This window comes from Homo sapiens, chromosome 2 (assembly GCF_000001405.40).
Source record: "Homo sapiens chromosome 2, GRCh38.p14 Primary Assembly".
NCBI classification, from domain to species: Eukaryota; Metazoa; Chordata; class Mammalia; order Primates; family Hominidae; genus Homo; species Homo sapiens.
The window spans coordinates 159,268,350-159,288,128 of record NC_000002.12 but is presented as its reverse complement, the minus strand read 5'-3'; the positions used below and the strand labels follow the sequence as shown (position 1 = coordinate 159,288,128).

Here is a 19,779-nt window from a genome sequence, read left to right as displayed (position 1 = left end):
AGATATTTAATCCAGCATTATCTACACTAAGATCAAAATTGTTGAAACCATCCAGCAACAGGGAAAATGTTAAATAATTTATGGTATGTTTATATGTAGACCATTATGTAGAAAAAAAAGCTAATGAAATTTTAGACATGGGAACAGCTCATGACACAAGTTTGTTTAAAAAGGCAGTTTCCAGGACTTTTTGTAAAATTAGTTTTTCTGAAAGACTGAGAGAAAATGTTATCTCTGAGTGGGTGATCTCTGAGGGGTGTAATTATTGACTATTTATTTTCCTGTTATATATTCTGTGTTTCCTACAGAGAGCTCTATTATTTATACAATCAAAAACTTGTTTTTAGAAAAATACTGTTTTGGCAATACTTTGGAATGGAATTTGGTGTTCAAAGTCTCAATCATGATGCACTCCGCTAATTTTAAAAAATTAACAAGAACTTCACAAAATCCTAATTTTTAATCTTCCCTTTCCCCTTAATCTTTTTCATTGCAAATAGTTTCCCACGGTCTCAATTTCATCTTTAAATGTGAGCATTTTAGGTCATTACTCTTCAAATGTAACTTCGGTCTCCACAGGCTGATATATTTTTAATGTTTCCTCATGGATTAAAAATAAAAGCTCTCTGTATCTTTGATTTTCATCTGAACATAGTCCCACACTATGTTGTGCATTTAGTTAACAAGTGGTAATTTGCTCAGGAACTTTTTTTTTTCTGGATAATTTTTATCTCAAAAAGCACTGGCAGGGCCACTTTGTAGTCAATGACACGTGGAAACCAGTCTACCGTGAGCCAGTGGGACGCACTGGGAAAGGCTGAAGAAAAGGCGCCCGGGGTTCCAGTGAGCTCAGGATACCCACCCAACGGCAGGGCTGGGGCCCGGGGCAGGCAGCCTGCCCGGGAGAGACCCCTAGGGGAACCCGAATGAGGAGGCGAGGGCAGAAGACGCCAAGTCACGGACCGCCCAGGGTGGCCGAAATAGAGAAGGCCAATCTGGGAGACCGGCCTCGGAGTACACAGTGCAGGGTGGAGAACTGGAGAAAGAGGTAAAAACTTTCAGCAGGGATGGCCGAACATTCCATGCAACGCCCCTTTAAAACGACGTTTCAGGCGATCACTAGGCCTTGCGACCGCAGCTTTAGCAAAAACAGAAAGATTTGCGACGGAAGTCCCTTTCCAAGCCTGAAATCGCCTTGACCCTAGGAGCCAGAAGCTGGGGAGGAACTCGCAGTCCGGGCGGAAGAGCGCGCATGCGCCGCCTCAGGGGCCGGTCCCGGGGGCGGGGCCTGTTCCCTCCGCCCTGGGTCTCCACAGGCTTTCGCGGGGCGGGGCCTACTCCCTCCGCTCTGGGTCACAGCGGGCGTTCGGGGGGCGGGGCCTGTTCCCTCCGCTCTGGGTCCCCGCGGGCGTTCGGGGGCGGGGCCTGTTCCCTCTGCTCTGGGTCTCCGCCGGCGCCCGCCCCGCCAGCCTCACCTGCGCGGCACGTGACCCGCACCGCCCGTGGGCACCTTGAAGGCGGATCCCGCGCGCCCCCGCTCCTGCAGGTGAGAGCGGCCGCGCCCACGGGCCGGCTCAGCGGCGGTGGCGGCAGGTGGGGAAGCGCGGCTGGGCCTGCTCGCGCGGGGCGTCTGAGCCCTCCATTTCCCGGTTCTAACCGCGCAGCAGGGCCCAACCGGGACCTTGAGTGCGGCGAGGCGTGGTTCGTGCACCCTTGGCCCGGGGCTAGGGCGGGCGTGTCGGCGTCGGGTGGAAGGAAGCCCCTTGCGGGTGAGCTCCCTGCCTCCCAGGCCTCCCTCTTGCCTGGGGTCGCTCAGTCCACAGAGGCCCGGCCGCTCATAGAGGGGGGCACATTCCTGGTCTTTCGTGCATGGGGGGTGTAAGTGGCGGACTTTATTTTGGGAGCGCTGGACACCTTTCGGGTTTGCTTTGAATGAGATGGGATTCATGTGTTTACGCTGGCCAACTGACCTGGTGTGCCCGGGAATTTACTGTTCGCGTGACAGCCGAGGCCCGAGGGAACGCCCACACCGCCCCCCCTACCCCAAGGCAGGTCCTGGGTAGGCCTGAGAGCTTTTTCAAAACAAACTGTTCAGCTGACGGTGGCCTCGGTACTTCCCACTGAATGCCCTGGAACTTGCAAAGGGAGCTGAGTGCGGCAGAGGGCTGGGAGCCGGAGTTTGTTTGGAAAATCACCTGTGCGCACTTGCACAGCTGGGATTTGCGAGCTCTCCAGAAAGCACCACCTGGTCTTGATTGTTTTCAAGACAGCAGTACAGGGATAGTCTACCAGAAATTTTCGTGTTTGGTTTTTAGGCTTTATTGGAGTTTATGTTCGAAGAAAAGAAGCTGAACTTATCCTAAAAGGATAAGATGAAGATAGGGAAAGGCATGCTCCTTATGCCTTAATATTTGTTTGATTGATTGATGGGGTCCTGCTCTGTTGCCCAGGCTAGAGTGCAGTGGTGCAATCACAGCTCACCGCCGGCGTCACCTCCGGGGCTCAAGTGATGCTCCCGCCTCAGCTTCTCGAGTAGCTGGGACTACAGGTGCTCGCCACCACACCCAGCTAATTATTTTTATTTTTAGAGAGATGGGGTCTTGCCTTGTTGCCCAGACTGGTCTTAAACTCTTGGGCTCAAGTGTTCCACCCATCTCGGCCTCCCAAAATGCTGGGACTACAGGTGTGCACCATCGCGCCCAGACTTTTTTTTTCTTTGGTAGAGGTGTTTCCGTAAATAAGACTAGGACAAAGGATTATCAATTTTACAAGTCAAGGTTATACCTGCCCCTTTCAGAGCTGATTCTGCCTCACTTGACACCAGTTTTCCACCGTCAGTTATGTTTCTGTGTGTGTATATATATTTAGTCTTGGTAGATTTTCTAATTTCATATTACATATGGATTATTTAAAGGCTGGAACTCAGTTGGGCTCGAACAAAATAAATATTCAACTTATATTTATTTAAGTACATTAGGTGCCTGACAGTTTTACATGGTGTGGATACAGAAATGAGCAAGATGGCAAAGTACCTACTCCTTTGGGATTTACATCCTAGTCGGAGGAGACAATTTAACAAATATCCGATGCTGGTGGTAATTGCTGAGAATATAGAGTGATGTGCTAGCCTAGGGAGTGGCTACTTTAAATAGGGAAACCGTCTCTGAGGAGAGACACTGAAATTGAGATCTAAATGACAAATAGGATCCCAAGAGCAGAGGCAAGAACATTTCAGCTTGAGAAAACCGCTTTATGGAGACGGAAGACTGTTAGGCCAAGGAGGCTGGAAAGAAGAGAGGGACAGTGGCCAGAGTTGAGATCTGAGAAGTGGGCAGGCGGGAATTATATAGGATTTTGATTACATAAGACTGTATAGGATTTTGTTTGCCATGATGAGTTTGATTTTATTCTAAATTTGTAAATTTGTTCTTGAGCGTGGTCTGGCTAAGTTCATTTTTTGACACTTTCTTAGGTTTTCTTTTCTTGGTTTCCTTGATTCATTCAGAGGTGGTTCCTCACCTCAAGTCTTTTGTATAATTTTACTATTTATCAGACAGGATGACAAACCATGATAGGACAGCTTTCAACATGGTCACTTATTAATAAATTTTCAATGAGACTTTTGTTGTTTTTTTTTAAGAGCAAATCCTACAGTTTGATTTTAAAGGCGGAGCAGATAGCCTTGGCTCCATCCTGTGAAGGGAACAGCTAAGATAGTTTATTAGAATAGAAAATACTTTTTGAGTTGAGATGAGCAGATCTGGAGTGAGGTATTTTTGAGAACTCCTTATGAGAAAGGCTTCAAAGGTGAAATAAACACCTTAGGTTTTGAAAGCTCAACATCAAATCAGTTTGAAGTTATTTGACAGTTTGAAGGTTCTTTTTGAGGAGTTGTGGAAATTTATTGGTATGACAACGGTGGTTGTGAGAATCAGAGGTTATAGTCTTATAGATTTTTTTTTCTCCAAATTGTTCTTATCCCAGGTAACAGGTTGTCCTTTAAAACAGAGCTCCCTTGGCCGGGTACGGTGGCTCACGCTGGTTATCCCAGCACTTTGGGAGGCTGAGGTGGGCGGATCACTTGAGGCCAGGAGTTCAAGACCTGGCCAACATGGGGAAACCCGGTCTCTACTAAAAATACAAAAAATTAGCCGGGCGTGGTGGGACATGCCTGTAATCCCAGCTACTTGGGAGGCTGAGGTGGGAGAATCACTTGAACCCGCGAGGCGGGAGTTGCAGTGACCTGAGAACATGCCACTGCACTCAAGCTTGGATGACAGAGGGAGATCCTGTCTCAACAAAACAAAACAAAAACAAAACATAGATCCCCAACCCCCAGGGCCGAGGACTGGTACCCATCATGGCCTGTTAGGAACTGGGCTGCACAGCAGGAGGTGAGGGCATGAGTGAGCTCCACCTCTTGTCAGATCAGCTGCAGTGTTAGATTTTTTTTCTTTTTTTTTTTTTGAAGGCGGAGCAGATAGCCTTGGCTCCATCCTGTGAAGGGAACAGCTAAGATAGTTTATTAGAATAGAAAATACTCTATTTTCTAGAACTCTAGAGATGGAGTTTCGCTCTGTCACCCAAGCTGGAGTGCAGTGGCACGATATCAGCTCACTGCAACCTCCTCCTCCCTTCAAGGGATTCTTCTGCCTCAGCCTCCCAAGTAGCTGAAACTACAGGCATGTGCCACCACACCCAGCTAATTTTTGTAGCTGGGGCTCCAGGCATCCACAAACCCTATTATGAACTGCGCCTGCGAGGGATCGAGGGTGTGCTGCTTATGAATCTAATGCCGGATGATCTGAGGTGGAACTGTTTCATCCTGAAACCATCCCCCACACCCCAGTCCAGGGAATAATTGTCTTCCATGAAACTGGTCCCTGCTGCCGAAAAGGTGGGGACCACTGCTTTAAAATGTTGATGTAGAAGCTTTCATTGAGCAAATTAAAACATTTTGGCCCTTTTATATAGACTCAAATTGCATGTATCTGATTCCTAGAATAAATAATCTTTATCTGCTTAAAAATTTCAGGCTGTTTTTCTTCAAATAAAGAACATGGTGAAACTGATTCACACATTAGCTGATCATGGTGACGATGTCAACTGCTGTGCCTTCTCCTTTTCCCTCTTGGCTACTTGCTCCTTGGACAAAACAATTCGCCTGTACTCGTTACGTGACTTTACTGAACTGCCACATTCTCCATTGAAGTTTCATACCTATGCTGTCCACTGCTGCTGTTTCTCCCCTTCAGGACATATTTTGGCATCGTGTTCAACAGATGGTACCACTGTCCTATGGAATACTGAAAATGGACAGATGCTGGCAGTGATGGAACAGCCTAGTGGCAGCCCTGTGAGGGTTTGCCAGTTTTCCCCAGACTCCACGTGTTTGGCATCAGGGGCAGCTGATGGAACTGTGGTTTTGTGGAATGCACAGTCATACAAATTATATAGGTATGGATATTTAAATCCTTCCTGTTTTAATCCTGTTGACTAGGTGTACTTAAAAAAAACTGAAAGCAAAATATTTTGATACTCTGCACAGTCTAAGTGATGTAGAAAAAAAGAAAAATATTTTGATGACCCTAGGAAGCCAATAGTTTTCAGGTAGCACAAGGAAAAATATTTTAACTGGGCCAGGTGCTGTGGCTCACGCGTGTAATCCCAGCACTTTGGGAGGCCAAGGCAGGCGGATCACGAGGTCAGGAGATCGAGACCATCCTGGCTAACATGGTGAAACCCCGTCTCTACTAAAAATACAAAAAATTAGCCGGGCATGGTGGCAGGCGCCTGTAGTCCCAGCTACTTGGGAGGCTGAGGCAGGAGAATGACGTGAACCCAGGAGGCGGAGCTTGCAGTGAGCCGAGATCACACCACTGTACTCCAGCCTGGGTGACAGACCGAGTCTCCGTCTCAAAAAAAAAAAAATTTTTTTTAACTGGCCTTCTAAAGGTCAAAAACCCAGAGAGTTGTTTAATATGATTCTTATAGTAGATTTGCTTAGCGCCAATCTTAAAATTAAGAGTTAATCTTGTTAGACTTTTATGGTTTTTTTTTTAATTGTAAGAGTTAAAGCAGTATTTTGAAGGTTCAGTAATTTTAGGCTTTATTTTTGTCACTTGTGGTTTAAGTGTTTTCTTTCTTTTTTGAGACAGAGTTTCACTCTTGTTGCCCAGGCTGGAGTGCAGTGGTGGGATCTCAGTTCACTGAAACCTCCACCTCCCAGGTTCAAGCGATTCTCCTGCCTCGGCCTCCCGAGTTGCTGGGATTACAGACTCCTGCCACCATGCCCAGCCAGTTTTTTGTATTTTTAGTAGAGACTGGGTTTCCCCATGTTGGCCAGGCTGCTCTTGAACTCCTGACCTCATGTGATCCACCCGCTTCAGCTGGCTTCCCAAAGGGCTGGGATTACAGGTATGAGCCACTGCGCCCGGCCCATAGTATGTAAAGCTTTAATAGTATGTAAAGCTCAGCTAAGAGATGCAGTTATTTCTGTGACTGCAATTCTTGCTGGATGAATGACCAAGCCCAGAAGAAGGAACCTCATGCCTGGTGTGGTGGTGATGTGTTATCATTTCTTAAAAACTCGCCTGAAAAACTCTTTTGGAAAAAACCAATTAATTTACATTGGTAATGTTGTATTGCAATTTAACAACATTAAAACTATTCACATTTATTTATATTGTGGCAAAATATACGTAACAGAAGTTATCATTTTTATTAGCTAGGCGTGGTGGCGTGTGCCTGTAGTCCTCGCTACTCCAGAGGCTGAGGTCAGAGGATCGCCTGAACCCAGGTGTTTGAGGCTGCAGTGTGCTAGGATTGCACTACTGTACCCCAGCCTGAGTGACTGAGTGACCCTGTCTCAAAAAAAAAAGTTAAAATTTTCACGCTAACACTTTTAGATGACATTAAGTACATTAGAAACCATGCGCTTTTAAGTAATTACCAATTAAAAGAGCCTAGTGTACCTCCCCCTCCTTCTGTCTCCCAACATCTTTTAGAGCACAAATGCTAGTTGGTCAACAACTATTGCTCATTTAAGCTTAGGTCTTTGGGTTGAAGAGGGTGACATGTTTTAAGTGGTGTTAATAAACACTTATGCCAAATATCTTTTTTATATGCATGAAATCCAGCTGTCAACTAGGAATCTTACTTATCCAATGATGACTTCTGGCTCTATAGCATAACTATCCCTAAACTATGTAATTAATTATATATAAATGATAGATACCCTGCTGGATGGGACAGTGTGTTAATTGTTGGGTTTTTAACAGCTTATTTTTCCTAATTGAGCAAATACTAATACTTCAGCACCGTGCCTCCCTGTCTTCCTAACGTAATTTTAACTTGCCCACAGCATTTTCCTTTCATAAATAATTTATATTTGAAGACCTCGCCATTGCTTCTGGGTAATTTTTTTTTTTTTTTTTTTGAGACGGAGTCTCGCTCTGTCGCCCAGGCTGGAGTGCAGTGGCGGGATCTCGGCTCACTGCAAGCTCCGCCTCCCGGGTTCACGCCATTCTCCTGCCTCAGCCTCCCAAGTAGCTGGGACTACAGGCGCCCGCCACTACGCCCGGCTAATTTTTTGTATTTTTAGTAGAGACGGGGTTTCACCGTTTTAGCCGGGATGGTCTCGATCTCCTGACCTCGTGATCCGCCCGCCTCGGCCTCCCAAAGTGCTGGGATTACAGGCGTGAGCCACCGCGCCCGGCCACTTCTGGGTAATTTTTAATACAGACGTTGTAAGTACCTTTGACTCCAATAACATATTTTCCAATAAAAATAGTTTTATCTTACCTTTTTTAAAAAATATGGCTGTAGTTGATGTTGCTTGTCATTGCTTTTCTGGTTAAGTTTTACATATTTTAATGTGTTTATACTGATTTGCCCTGTGGAAAAATATGAAGATATGTGGACTTTGGTTTGTAATTTAGGCTTGAACATACCAGTTAAAATGTTTAAGGGAGGATATTTAAATCCTCCCTTGCTTTTAGACAGTATATCTCAGTTCATAGCATATAAATGATATTTTATTTCTGTAGGCATCAGTTGTCCTTTCTCTCTAGTTCTGTGATAGCCATTTATTCTCTTTTCACTGTATCAAGCTGCTGTTAGAGACTGTGGTATAAAGTAAAGGATACTCTGAAATGAAAACCCACTTTTTGCTTTTATTTCAGATGTGGTAGTGTTAAAGATGGCTCCTTGGCGGCATGTGCATTTTCTCCTAATGGAAGCTTCTTTGTCACTGGCTCCTCATGTGGTGATTTAACAGTGTGGGATGATAAAATGAGGTGTCTGCATAGTGAAAAAGCACATGATCTTGGAATTACCTGCTGCGATTTTTCTTCACAGCCAGTTTCTGGTTGGTTATTTTATTCTTTTAAGCACTAGAAATTCCTATTTGTAATTTGTGCTGTATATGACTTTTCATTCTTTTATTCTTTTTTATGTTATCATTAGTAGAGTGAGGAGCCCTCTTAATTTATTCCTGTAAAGGGATTATCCTTCTCTCTTTTTTGACCAAAAATGAAATCATGAAAAAATATATGAGAAAATTGCATTCTTTTTTTTTGGTCTTGGAGTTTCCTGCAAGAAAATTACATTCTTTATTATATGCAGGGGGTGGCTCAAATTGGTACAACAGATTCAGATTCCTTGGATATGGCAATTTAGAGGACCTAACCCTATTGATACAATTGCAATTAAAAGAACACTATATTGATATTCAAGTAGAAATGTAAACTTTAAAAATTGGAAATAGAAGCTGTGTTTTCCATTTACTAATTTAATCTTCGAAAAGCTAAATTTATAAAATGTTTGCCAACACAATTAGTTTTTTAGAAATAAACAGAACTCCTGAATGTAGTCTCTTGGTTTTAAATAGGTACAGTGATTTGGAAAGTTCTTTCTTTAGAGTTTTCATTTTCCGTGTTAGTGGATGGGAGTTCTGTAGCTTTTGTCCCCCTGCAGTCTTGTTACCAGACCAGTGCTATCCATAACAACGTAATGCAAGCCACTTAGGAAAATTTAAAATGTAGTAGTAGATGAAATTAATTAATAATATATCCTGATATATCTACAATGTAGTTTCAATAATTGATAATAAAAATTATTAATAAGATTTTATCTTTCGTACTAAGTCTTTGAAATCTGGTATGTATATTACAGATAGTACATTTCAATTTGGACTAGCTGCATTTCAAGTCTTTGATACCCACATATGGCCAGTCACTGCCCTATTGGACAAAACAGGTCCAAAGAGTAGACAGAAAGGTTTTGGTATTTCCCCCCTTTTCAAGCCCATCAGTGGCTTGTTAAGATATGATTAAGATCTCAAATCCCAAAAGCAAAACATGTTCTGCTTCCCCCTAATCTCAAATTGCTCTTGGCCTTATGCATTTTTTGCCACATTGACTTTCTTTCATTCCTGGAATGTTTCTAAGATTTTTCCAAGGGTTTTACGTGCAGACCCTTTACCTGGTTTGCTGTTAATATCCTTTAGAATTTGGCTGAAAATCACTAAAGATAAGTCTCTCCTGATCTTAACCCCTGCATTAAATCTGTATAATTTTGATATAGTCTTTTTTTTGCATGCTTTATTTTTCTGTTACAGTACTAAGTATCACAATTTTTAATTCTATATTTATATGGATAATATTTAATGGTGTTTTTCCTATTAGCTTGTAAGCTCCAGGCAGGCAGGGCCTGGGTCATTTTTCTTCATCGTGCCTGATACAGAGTAGGCCTTGAAATGTAGATTGATGAGTAAGATTCCTTTTAATGATTTGCTGAAATAATAGATTTTCTTTTCATAAACCCATTCTTACGTTAAACTCCCTCCCTAATTTAATTAAGGCAGTTATTCTTTTAGTATATTGTTCTGTGATATTTTACTGTAAGAACAGCTTGTAACAAACAAGCCATTGCTTCCATTTCTGTGGGACCTTCTCTACATCTTGTAGGCACTCAATGAATGTGGTGAATTATATAAGTGTGGAGAGATCTAGGTTCCTTTTTTGGTTCTAAATGATCTGAAGATAGATTTCCAATGAAAATACTATTATATTAGTTAATATTAGAATAAAAATAAGGGCTTTTTTGTCCTGCATTTAGAGAGATTGGGAGCTTATGGGGTCAGGAAAGGCTCACTAAACCAGGCAGAGAATTCTAGGTGAGATTCTGAAATGATACCCACATCCCCACCCTGCCTTTAGAACATATTATACACTTCTCTCGGTATAATTTTAATCTTTGTGCCTTCTTTAGTTCCTTTAGTGTTGCTGTGGAAATATATCTTAACCTTATGAGTAAATTCTCTGAAACAAATTGGTACATGCTTTAAAGTGATTATTGTAGGAATTTGTGGGAACAACTGTATTTAGAAGACAAAGTATATAATTTCAATTTGTTTAATTTCGTATTTGTTATTATCTGTAAATACTTATGACATATTGACTCATCTTGTGACATTTTGCTGAAATAAGGAAAAATAATCCTGTTTGCACCTGAGAGTAAATGATCATTTCTCTCCAGTTTTTAAATGATAAAGTGTAGGTTAGGTTATTATAATTTAAATATTTTTCCTGAAGAAAAGTATGTTTCTAAATATTATATTTAGATACTGAACATAAGCACATTTTAACCTGTGTAATTTTCCATTGTCTTAGCTGAATTTTCACTACTTAGAGAACTTCAGAATTAACTTCAAAGGATCTATTTAGTTAAGAAACAAATAGCGTTGCTAATTAGGTCTAATACAGAAATATTTTGCTCTCAGCCATTTATTGAATAAAATGTTTTGTCTTAAAAAGACAGTGATTATCAGGAATTGCCTGTATCCCTCAAGATCTCTCTTAGAAAGGATATATTTTGGGTAAATCTATGCTACAGAAAGAAACAAAAATGCTATTGAAATATGGAAGTCCCATGGAGTTAAAAAAGCTTTCAGTGAAATGGAATTTAATTTGTTGTTCGTTAGTAAAGTGTTTGTACTTTCAAAGAGGCAGAGTCCATAGAAAAAATTTACATGCCCAGGTGTACACGTTTGTTAAATTTTATATACTGAAAATTTGTTAAGCCAGAGTACAATCTTAAGATGGATATTAGATTTCTGTTTTGGTGACAGGGTCTTGCTCCGTCATCCAGGCTAGAGTGCAGTGGTGTGATCATAGCTCACTGCAGCCTCAAACTCCTGGGCTCAAGGAGATCCCCTGCCTCGGCCTCCTAAGTAGCTACAACTACAGATGTGTGCCACCACACCCGGCTAATTTAAAAAAATTTTTTGTAGAGACAGGGTCTTACCATCTTTCCTAGCCTGGTCTCAAACTCCTGGTGTCAGCCTCTCAAAGTGCTGGGATTACAGACTTCAGCCACCATGCCCAGCCTCAATTTCTTAATTGTGCTTTACTGCATATGAGTGCCAAAACTTACTTGATGAAACTACTTGTGATATTAGGTGCAACTTGTATAAAATTGCATTGATGATGTCAATATTTACATTATCCAAAATTGTTTAGGAACTTTAGTAGATATATAATGATACACTAAAATTAAGTAAGTGTAATGTAGTAGCTCTTCTGGGACACCATATAACTGATTACTTTCCCTAAATAATATAATATTTTCAACCAAATGGAGTGAATTGATGTTATTTTTGATTTCTATAATTCCAGCCTTTGGCTTGATTAAATCAGATGGAAAAAAATTCCCATTATTATTCCATGTGAACTATAGATCAGGCTTTTAAGAAATTGATATGACTTTAGGCCAGTGCAGTGGCTCACGCCTGTAATCCCAGCACTTTGGGAGGCTGAGGCAGGCGGATTGCAAGGTCAGGAGTTCAAGACCAGCCTGGCCAATATGGGGAAACCCCGTCTCTACTAAAAACACAGAAATTAGCCGGGTGTGGTGGCACATGCCTGTAATCTCAGCTACTTGGGAGGCTGAGGCAGGAGAATTGCTTGAACCTGGGAGGTGGAGGTTGCGGTGAGCTGCCAAGATCGCACCACTGCACTCCAGCCTGGGCATCAGAGCGAGACTCCATCTCAAAAAAAAAAAAAGGAAGAAATTGCTATGACCTTAAAAAAAGGTTAGGAATGATTAAACATTTAACACTCTCAAAGTAACTGACTTTTCTTCCTGATTTTTCCTATCAGTGCTAGCCTCATAGACTCTCAAATTGAGTTAGAGGAGGATGCTCTATTGAGTGGCTCAATATTGGTCCTTGCAGCCTTGAGTTCTATTCTTTGAGGAAGGAAAATGAAAGGTATTTTTTTGTAGCAACTTGAGGACTAATAATCCCACATAGTACCTTGTTTAAAAGAAATTCTTTAATCAGCATTTTGTTAAATGATATAAGTTAACTAATAACTTGTGAACATGGTTTAAATGAGTAGAATTAATAGATCTTAGTATAAGAAATGGGAATTTTGGGGGGGTTTCAGTGTTTTACAAATTCTCTGTATTTATTTTTAATAAATTTTAGATGGAGAACAAGGTCTTCAGTTTTTTCGACTGGCATCATGTGGTCAGGATTGCCAAGTCAAAATTTGGATTGTTTCTTTTACCCATATCTTAGGTATGTATGCCAAATAGTGCTTCTCTAAAATTATTTGTGGTCTGGATAAAATTTCTATTTAATCTTTTTACTTAAGGTACCTTGAGTATCTAAAAGTAAGTATTAAAATATGGTTTAAGAAACTTTTAGTCAAAATAATACACATGATTTAAAAATCAGATGCTCATTGATGATCATGACCTCACCCATTCTACTGCCATGCACATTTCTGCTCACCAGAGGTGACCACTTTGCACTTGATTTCAACTCCTTTGTGGTTTTCACAGTTTCTGTAAACACTGTTTATACCACTACATTTTTTTATTTATTCACTGTAGGTACTGCTTTTTGTTAGTGTGTGGGTCTTTTCCCATCCATTGTACTATTCCATCAGGTGACCCTTTCAGTCAGGAAGCTTATTTTGTACAGTTTTGGAATAAACTATTCCGTTATGTTATTTCTTTAATTCATCTCTCTTTTTACAACTTCCATTAATTGAATGTTGGGCCTCCTGAATTGATTCTCTTTTTTTATCCCCCACATTTCTCTCTCTTTTCTTGTACTTTAGGGGAAAATTTCTCTGCTTTTTGTCTTAACCTTTTTTTGAATGTTTTATCGCATTAATCATATTTTCAGATTCTAAAAGCTCACCATCTTCTTTGTTTTCTTTTCATAGTGTCCTTTATAAATGTAAGATCTCAAAACTCTCAGGATGTCATTTAGGAGTTTTTGCTTTAAGTTCCCTTCTGTTTTCTGATCTTTGTTTGCAGTTGAGTCCCCTTTTTGCTTAGTACTCTGTTTGCATTTAAGAATTAGACAATGTTTAGAAGCTCTGTGCACAGAAGTGGTTCGTTATTGCTGGCTTCCCTCTAGGATGAGGAGGTGGGTAGTTGGCCCTTCTGGGTGAAGGACTGGGGACTTAGGGAGTAGACACTCTGTCACCCTAGAGCTTCCCAGGCAGTTGTATTTTTTGAAAGGTTTCGCCAGGGATAAATGCTTGGCTTTTGTGCAGCATACTAAGGGTGAAGTTGGGGAGAGATTGGAGGTAGACACTGAATGGTCTGTATACAGTCAGTCAGTTCATTTTTCTCTTTTCAGGTCTATGTCTGTGTCATTCTAATTTTCCTTTTTCCTGGCTATTGATATTCTGGAACCTTGAGGTATTTTCTTCCTACCCTCTCCATCTCCTCTCTCAGGTCTTGCCCTGGCTAATTTTTAAATTTTTTATAGAGACAGTGTCTCAGTTTGTTTCTCAGGATGGTCTTGAACTCCGGGCCTCAAATGATCCTCCCACCTTGGCCTCTCAAAATGCTGGGATTACAGGCGTGGGCCACTGCGCTTGGCCAGTCTTGGGGTGTTTTCTAGGGCAGAATAACTTTCTTGGCTGTACCCCTGTCTCTTTGTATGCTGGGCTGTTATTCTTTTATACTTCTTCATTACTTAATGTGCTTTCTGCCTCCCCAAAGTTGATTCAGTTTCTGGTTTGCTGATGCCCCTCTTCCCACTCTCTTTACCAGTGTACATTTCTGTTTTTATTAATTCCTTCCTTGACATTTTCATGGGGAATCTGAAATTTTGTGGTCATCTTGATTGATTCAGGAGCCTCAGAATATTATTATTTGTTACCTAGTAAGCTTCAGTTAAATGACAAACTGTATTTTTGTTGTTCATAATTATCCTAGTTTATAGTGTATAGAGAAGAACCTTTTATCGGGAAATAAATATGTTCCTTTAGTAATTGTTCAAAAGTAAAGCCTTTCATGTTTACTGGAAAATATGTTGACACTGACTTTTTAACAAAAACATACATGACAGTTTATAAACGTGCAGTTAAAAACTTTTCATAAGGCTGGGCGTGGTGGCTCACACCTGTAATCCCAGCACTTTGGGAGGCTGAGGCAGGTGGATCACTTGAGGTCAGGAGTTTGATACCAGCCTGGCCAACATGGTGAAACCCTGTCTTGACAAAAATACAAAAATTAGCCAGGTGTGGTAGTGCACACCTGTAGTCCCAGCTTCTTGGGAGCCTGAGTCAGGAGAATCACTTGAACCCAGGAGGCGGAGGTTGCAGTGAGCCGAGACTGTACCACCGCACTCCAGCCTGGGTGACAGAAGGAGATGCTCTCAAAAAAAAAATAATAAAAATAAAATCTTTTCATAAAGCATTTATCACCATTTGTACCTTATTATTTGCTTATTTGTAGGGAGGAGTAGAGAGACATATGGGTCTTATACTTGAGGACATAACCTATTATTGTTGTATTGAAGTTTTATAGTCTTAATTTGGTGTGCAACTTAATATGTTTGCTTTGTTTGATTAATCATGCCTATTTATTGCTCTGTTCCCAGTTAGAATTAAAGCCTTTTGAAGTTTATCATTGTATTTCTAGCACTTAGCACGGTGTCTTTAGTGTGTGTCTCTGCTCTCCCAGATAAAAATATATATTTTTTCCTGTTTTGAGCTTGAAACTTTTACTTACTCTGATGACCTTTTTCTTTAGTTAAATGCTTGTTATCCTCACTAAAAGACATTTAACACTTCAAAAAAGGTTTTATTGTGTCTGATGTAGTTATAAATTTCCCTCGTGTATTTCCTTTTCCTTCTTTCCCAACCCCTGCCAATTTCTTTTTATTTTTATAGGTTGTCACCAAAATATATTGAATTCCCTCAGTATACTTTTAAAGTAGTTGTGATGTTTATATTTAGTAATTCTAAAAGCATGAAAAGGATTTTATACCTTTTTATACTTTGTAGGAGTGTTATATTTTATAAAGATAATATTGGAATTACAAGATGTGTAAATTACCATTGATTATTTACAGGATGAGAAAGTATTTTTTTACAGGATGAGAAAATATTTTTAAGTGCCAGATTTAAAAAATTGTAAGCATTTTTTTAAGTCTTTTGGGCAATTGGCGTATTTTGTTTTTATCAGACACTAAAATTGTGGTATAGTTTAAAAGTTAAAAATTTTGGTAGTTATGAAATTACCCCATCTAGCCTTTGTTGAACTGCTTTTTAAAATCCATTACTGAGCTTTTGAAATGTGAGACAGGGTAACAAACACAAGAAGCCATGTTTGCTCCTTTCTGCTTGCCAGCATAATTTGACAAATCCCCCGACTCTATGACAATGTGCAGCTCTCTGGAGGAATGCCTTGAAGACAAAACAGAGGAGAGCACAGAGTCCCCCATGTCTCTTCCCTGAGTCACTACATTCCTTAAAAGATAAATGAGCCCAGCCTTGCCTTTTCTTACCTGAGATAACGTCCAGTGGGGTTAGTGATCATGTTTCTGCAATCCGTAACCGAATGCACTTTAGAAATCTATAACCAGATGTACTCTTAAACCCAGACCTTGAGGTGATTCTGCTTTAATGTAACTTCTGTTTGACGTGATTTTGCACATACTAAACCTCTACCACCTGTATGTACGCAGCGGGCTGAAACGCTGCTTGGGAGTGGTCTTACAGATTGCCCTGTAGCTCCCAGGCCATAGGCCTTAGTCTGTAGTCCTCAGTAAGACTTCTGAGTAAAGCTACTTCAATTCTTTAAAAATTTGACTTTATTCTTTAGTCAACAGAAACCAGTTAATCACACTGCATCCCAATTATTTCCTTATAGATATCTGAGCTGCATGAGGATTTTTAATTTTTGTGTCCTTTAGGCACTCAAAGATTATTTGTTAAATAAATAAGTGAAATGGTGTTGACTTAAAAATCAATTCTAAGCATGGTCAGCTTTCTAATCTCTGTTACCTTGTTATTTGCAGGTTTTGAATTAAAATATAAAAGTACACTGAGTGGGCACTGTGCTCCTGTTCTGGCTTGTGCTTTTTCCCATGATGGGCAGATGCTAGTCTCAGGGTAAGCTAGTTGGTTTAATTTTCCTAAACCATTTTTATATGAAATCAAACAGACACACGGAAAAGTACATGAAACCTCAAAGAATAGCTTGATGAGCCACCACAAAGGTCAAGAAATAGAACATTGCTGGTTCTGCCCCAGAAGCCCTCCCCTTGCAAGTGCCCCTTTTTGGTGACAACATGTTAGATCATATGCACTACTGCTGTTTTCTTTAAAACTGACCTAAAACAAATTATGCAATATGAATTATTTTGTCAGGCTTCCTGTACCCAACATTACACTTGTGACATTAATTCATATTATTGCCTGGAGCTGTGGCCCTTTGATTTTCATTGCTGTGTAATATTCCATGGCATGGATACATTATAATATATATAATAGTTCATTTTAATGTTAATGGTTATATGATTGTTTCTGGTTTGAGGGCATTACAATAATAATTCTATGAATATATTGTATGTCCTGGTGTACATGTTCATGCATTTCTGTAAGATAAGTACATAGGAATGGCCTTGCTGAGTCATAGAATACGTGCATTTTCAACTTTGGCAGATAACAACAGTTTCCAAGTGGCTGAACAATTAATACTTCTATAGCAGTGTTGTTTTGTATCCTAGCCTGTACTTGGTATTGTGAGTGTTTAAAATTTTAGCCGTTCTGATGAGTGTGTAGTGTTGCCTTACTATGGTTTTAATTTGCGTTTCCCCAGAACAAAGTGGTTGGAACCTTTTCAGAAGTTTATTAGCCATATGTATTTTCTCTTGTATGAAGTGCCTGTTCATGCCTCCGGCCCATTTTTTTCTCTAGGTTATCTTTTTCTTACTGATTTGTTGTTATATATGTATGTGTGTGTGTGTGTATTTTTATATTTGAGCCATTTGTTGCTAGTTGCAAATATATTTTCCCAGCCTCTAGATTTGCCTTTTCACAGTTTATAATTTTAGTGTAGTCAGCTTCTTTATGTTCTGAGGTCATGAAGATATTTTCCTATATTCTAAGACCTTCATTGTTTTGCCTTTCACACTTAATGTGTATGATGTGCAATAGGAATCCCATTTTATTCCTTTCTACGTGAATATCCAGTTGTCCTAGTACTACGTATTGAAAAGACCACTTTTCTCCTCCATTTTGTTGTACTCCCTTGTCAGAAATCACTGACAATATATTTGTGAGTCTGTTTCTTAACTACTGTTTCTGCTATTTTGTTCTGTTTCTGTCCTTGCTCTAATATCATTCTGTCTCTCCCAGGCTTTATATTTTGTCTATTCCTAGCTATTGACATTTTCATGTAAATTTTAGAATCAACTTGTTAAATTGCCCCAATTCCTGTCTCCACACACACAAACCTGTTTGGGTTTTAATTAGGATTATATAGAGTCTGATGAATTTGGGGAGAATTGACATCTTTATGATATTGGTCTTGTAATCTGAGAATGTTGCATATTTCTTCATTTATTTATCTTTGAATTTCAATAATTGTCTTCTGTGTAGAAGTTCTCATCTTTTATTAGCCTTCTTTCTAGGCACTTGTTAGTATATAAAAGATGTGGCCAATATAAGGAAATATATAATGGAAATAAATTGGACTTACCTAGGAAATTTCTTATTTTGGATTATATGTATATGAAATCAGATCATTTGTGGATAATGATGGTTTTGTTCCTTCCTTTCTAATCCTTATATCTTTGGTATCTTCTGTGCCTTACTGAACTGTTGATACTACCAGGATAATAAAAGTGGCAATAACAGGCCTTGTCTGATTCCTCACTGCAGAGGGAAAGCTTTCATTATTCAATATGATCATTGTAGGTTTTGGGGAGATAAGCTTTATTCTTCTATTCCTTTTAGTTTGTAAGAGTTTTGTTGTTATTTTTTTAATCATGCAAGGGTATTGTATTTCATCAGATGATTTTTCCTACATCTTTGAGATGATACAATTTTTCTCTGTTACTCTGTTAGTGGAGTGAATTACAAGATTTTTAAATGTTAAACCAACCTTGCTTTGTTGGAACAAACAAATTTTAGGGTATATTATTGTTGTGTATTGCTATAGAAAAGTTAGTTTCATTCTAACTGTTGTTCCTTTGGATGTAATTCATGTGTTTTTCTCTGGCTGCTCATGAAATTTTCTGTTTTGAGGTTTTTGCATATCCACTTTGTATCTACATATGAGTTTCCTATTTAGTTTGCTTGGAATTCATTGAACTTCTTAAATCCTTGGAATGATATTGGGCAGGGCGTGGTGGTTCATGCCTGTAATCCCAGCACTTTGGGAGGCAGAGGCAGGCCTATCACTTGAGCTCAGGAGTTCAAGACCAGCCTGGCTAACATGGTGAAACCTCATCTCTACTAAAAATACAAAAATTAGCCAGGCATGATGGTGGGCACCTGTAATTCCAGCTACTCAGGAGGCTGAGGCAGGAGAGTTGCTTGAACCCAAGAGGTGGAGGTTGCAGTGAGCTGAGATCACACCACTGCACTCCAGCCTGGGTGACAGAGCAAGACTCCATCTCAAAAAAAAAAAAAAAAAAAAAAATCTGTGGAAAGATATTTTACCACTTTTGGAAAATTCTTATTTATTATCTCTTCAAGTATTGCCTCTGTTCCTTTCTTTCTGTCCTCTAATTCTGGGATTCCAATTAAAGGCACATTACACCTCACTGTAAACTTTATTCTCTCTTTTGTATTTATGCTTCTGTTTTGTTTGTTTGTTTGTTTTTTCCTGTTTCCTATGCTTCATTCTGGATGGTTTTCCCTTTCCTTTCTTCAGCTAATATATTAAACTGGTCCATTGAATTCTTAATTTTGCTTATTTTATTTTTTGGTCCTAGAATTCCTATTTGGCAATTTTTTTCAGTGGTGTCACTTTTTATGATTTCCAGTTCTGTGTTGAAGTTGTCAACCTTGGCTTTTATTTTTCAAAGCTTTATTCTGTTAGGCAATGGGCTGGAACATCGTTTCATGATTCAATTACTTTATACTCTTTTCCTTTTGAATACTTTTGTATATTTTCTCCTTGCCATTAGATTTTCTAAAACTTTCCTGTCTGATCTCACAGGTCATAGCATTCTGACCCACATTTATGGCTCTTCATAGCAACTTTCATTCCAGCTAAGATATTTAGGCTCCTAACCTCCATTTAGAATGTCTGGACTAAGGCTGATGGTTCTTTTTTTCCATATGCTCCAATTCTTGCCAAACAGCCAAATTACTAGTTATGTTGTTGTCATTATTGTAGATGTGGCTGTTTGATCTCTAAAGATGAAGATTATTCATCATCAAAAAGTATTTATAGTAATTGTCTTTTGACCTAGAATTTAAATCATTGGAAAGTTTAAACAAATAAAGTTGA

The 19,779-nt window shown here is 39.7% G+C and overlaps 1 protein-coding gene across 21 annotated transcripts in view, besides 5 other annotated features; it reads left to right on the top strand.

The window, feature by feature from the left end:
* Positions 1,153-1,592: a silencer, noted in NCBI's record as "silent region_12042". NCBI's record gives its function as "represses an Ori minimal core promoter by ATAC-STARR-seq in GM12878 lymphoblastoid cells {active_cell/tissue: GM12878}" and the evidence as "EXISTENCE:reporter gene assay evidence [ECO:0000049][PMID:35858748]".
* Positions 1,297-1,466: a silencer, noted in NCBI's record as "fragment chr2:160143174-160143343 (GRCh37/hg19 assembly coordinates)". NCBI's record gives its function as "represses an EF-1alpha promoter that drives an FKBP-Casp9 reporter gene in an ReSE screen in K562 erythroleukemia cells {active_cell/tissue: K562}" and the evidence as "EXISTENCE:reporter gene assay evidence [ECO:0000049][PMID:32094911]".
* Positions 1,426-19,779, top strand: part of WDSUB1 (WD repeat, sterile alpha motif and U-box domain containing 1) — a 50,906-nt gene continuing 32,552 nt past the window's right edge. For 6 of the 21 annotated variants that reach the window (XR_001738650.3, XR_007069663.1, NM_001330274.2 and 3 more), the window contains exons 1-5: positions 1,426-1,546; positions 5,036-5,457; positions 8,184-8,368; positions 12,491-12,583; positions 16,334-16,427. Coding sequence is in view for 19 of the 21 variants with exons in the window: in NM_001330274.2 (NP_001317203.1) it covers positions 5,060-5,457; positions 8,184-8,368; positions 12,491-12,583; positions 16,334-16,427 (770 nt within the window). In the remaining 2 variants the exon portion in view is untranslated. Of the gene's footprint in view, positions 1,770-5,035; positions 5,458-8,183; positions 8,369-12,490; positions 12,584-16,333; positions 16,428-19,779 lie in introns of all 21 variants that reach the window. The other 15 variants (XM_047443528.1, NM_001307994.2, NM_001330280.2 and 12 more) reach the window with 12 other exon arrangements.
* Positions 7,918-8,087: an enhancer, noted in NCBI's record as "experimental_53748 CRE fragment used in MPRA reporter constructs". NCBI's record gives its function as "activates a minimal promoter by MPRAs in K562 erythroleukemia cells, with activity observed for both the introgressed and non-introgressed 2:160136638 variant alleles {active_cell/tissue: K562}" and the evidence as "EXISTENCE:reporter gene assay evidence [ECO:0000049][PMID:34662402]".
* Positions 15,442-15,941: an enhancer, noted in NCBI's record as "H3K27ac hESC enhancer chr2:160128699-160129198 (GRCh37/hg19 assembly coordinates)". NCBI's record gives its function as "activates a minimal SCP1, AML or CMV promoter by ChIP-STARR-seq in naive H9 embryonic stem cells {active_cell/tissue: H9 hESC(naive)}" and the evidence as "EXISTENCE:reporter gene assay evidence [ECO:0000049][PMID:30033119]".
* Positions 15,942-16,443: an enhancer, noted in NCBI's record as "H3K27ac hESC enhancer chr2:160128197-160128698 (GRCh37/hg19 assembly coordinates)". NCBI's record gives its function as "activates a minimal SCP1, AML or CMV promoter by ChIP-STARR-seq in naive H9 embryonic stem cells {active_cell/tissue: H9 hESC(naive)}" and the evidence as "EXISTENCE:reporter gene assay evidence [ECO:0000049][PMID:30033119]".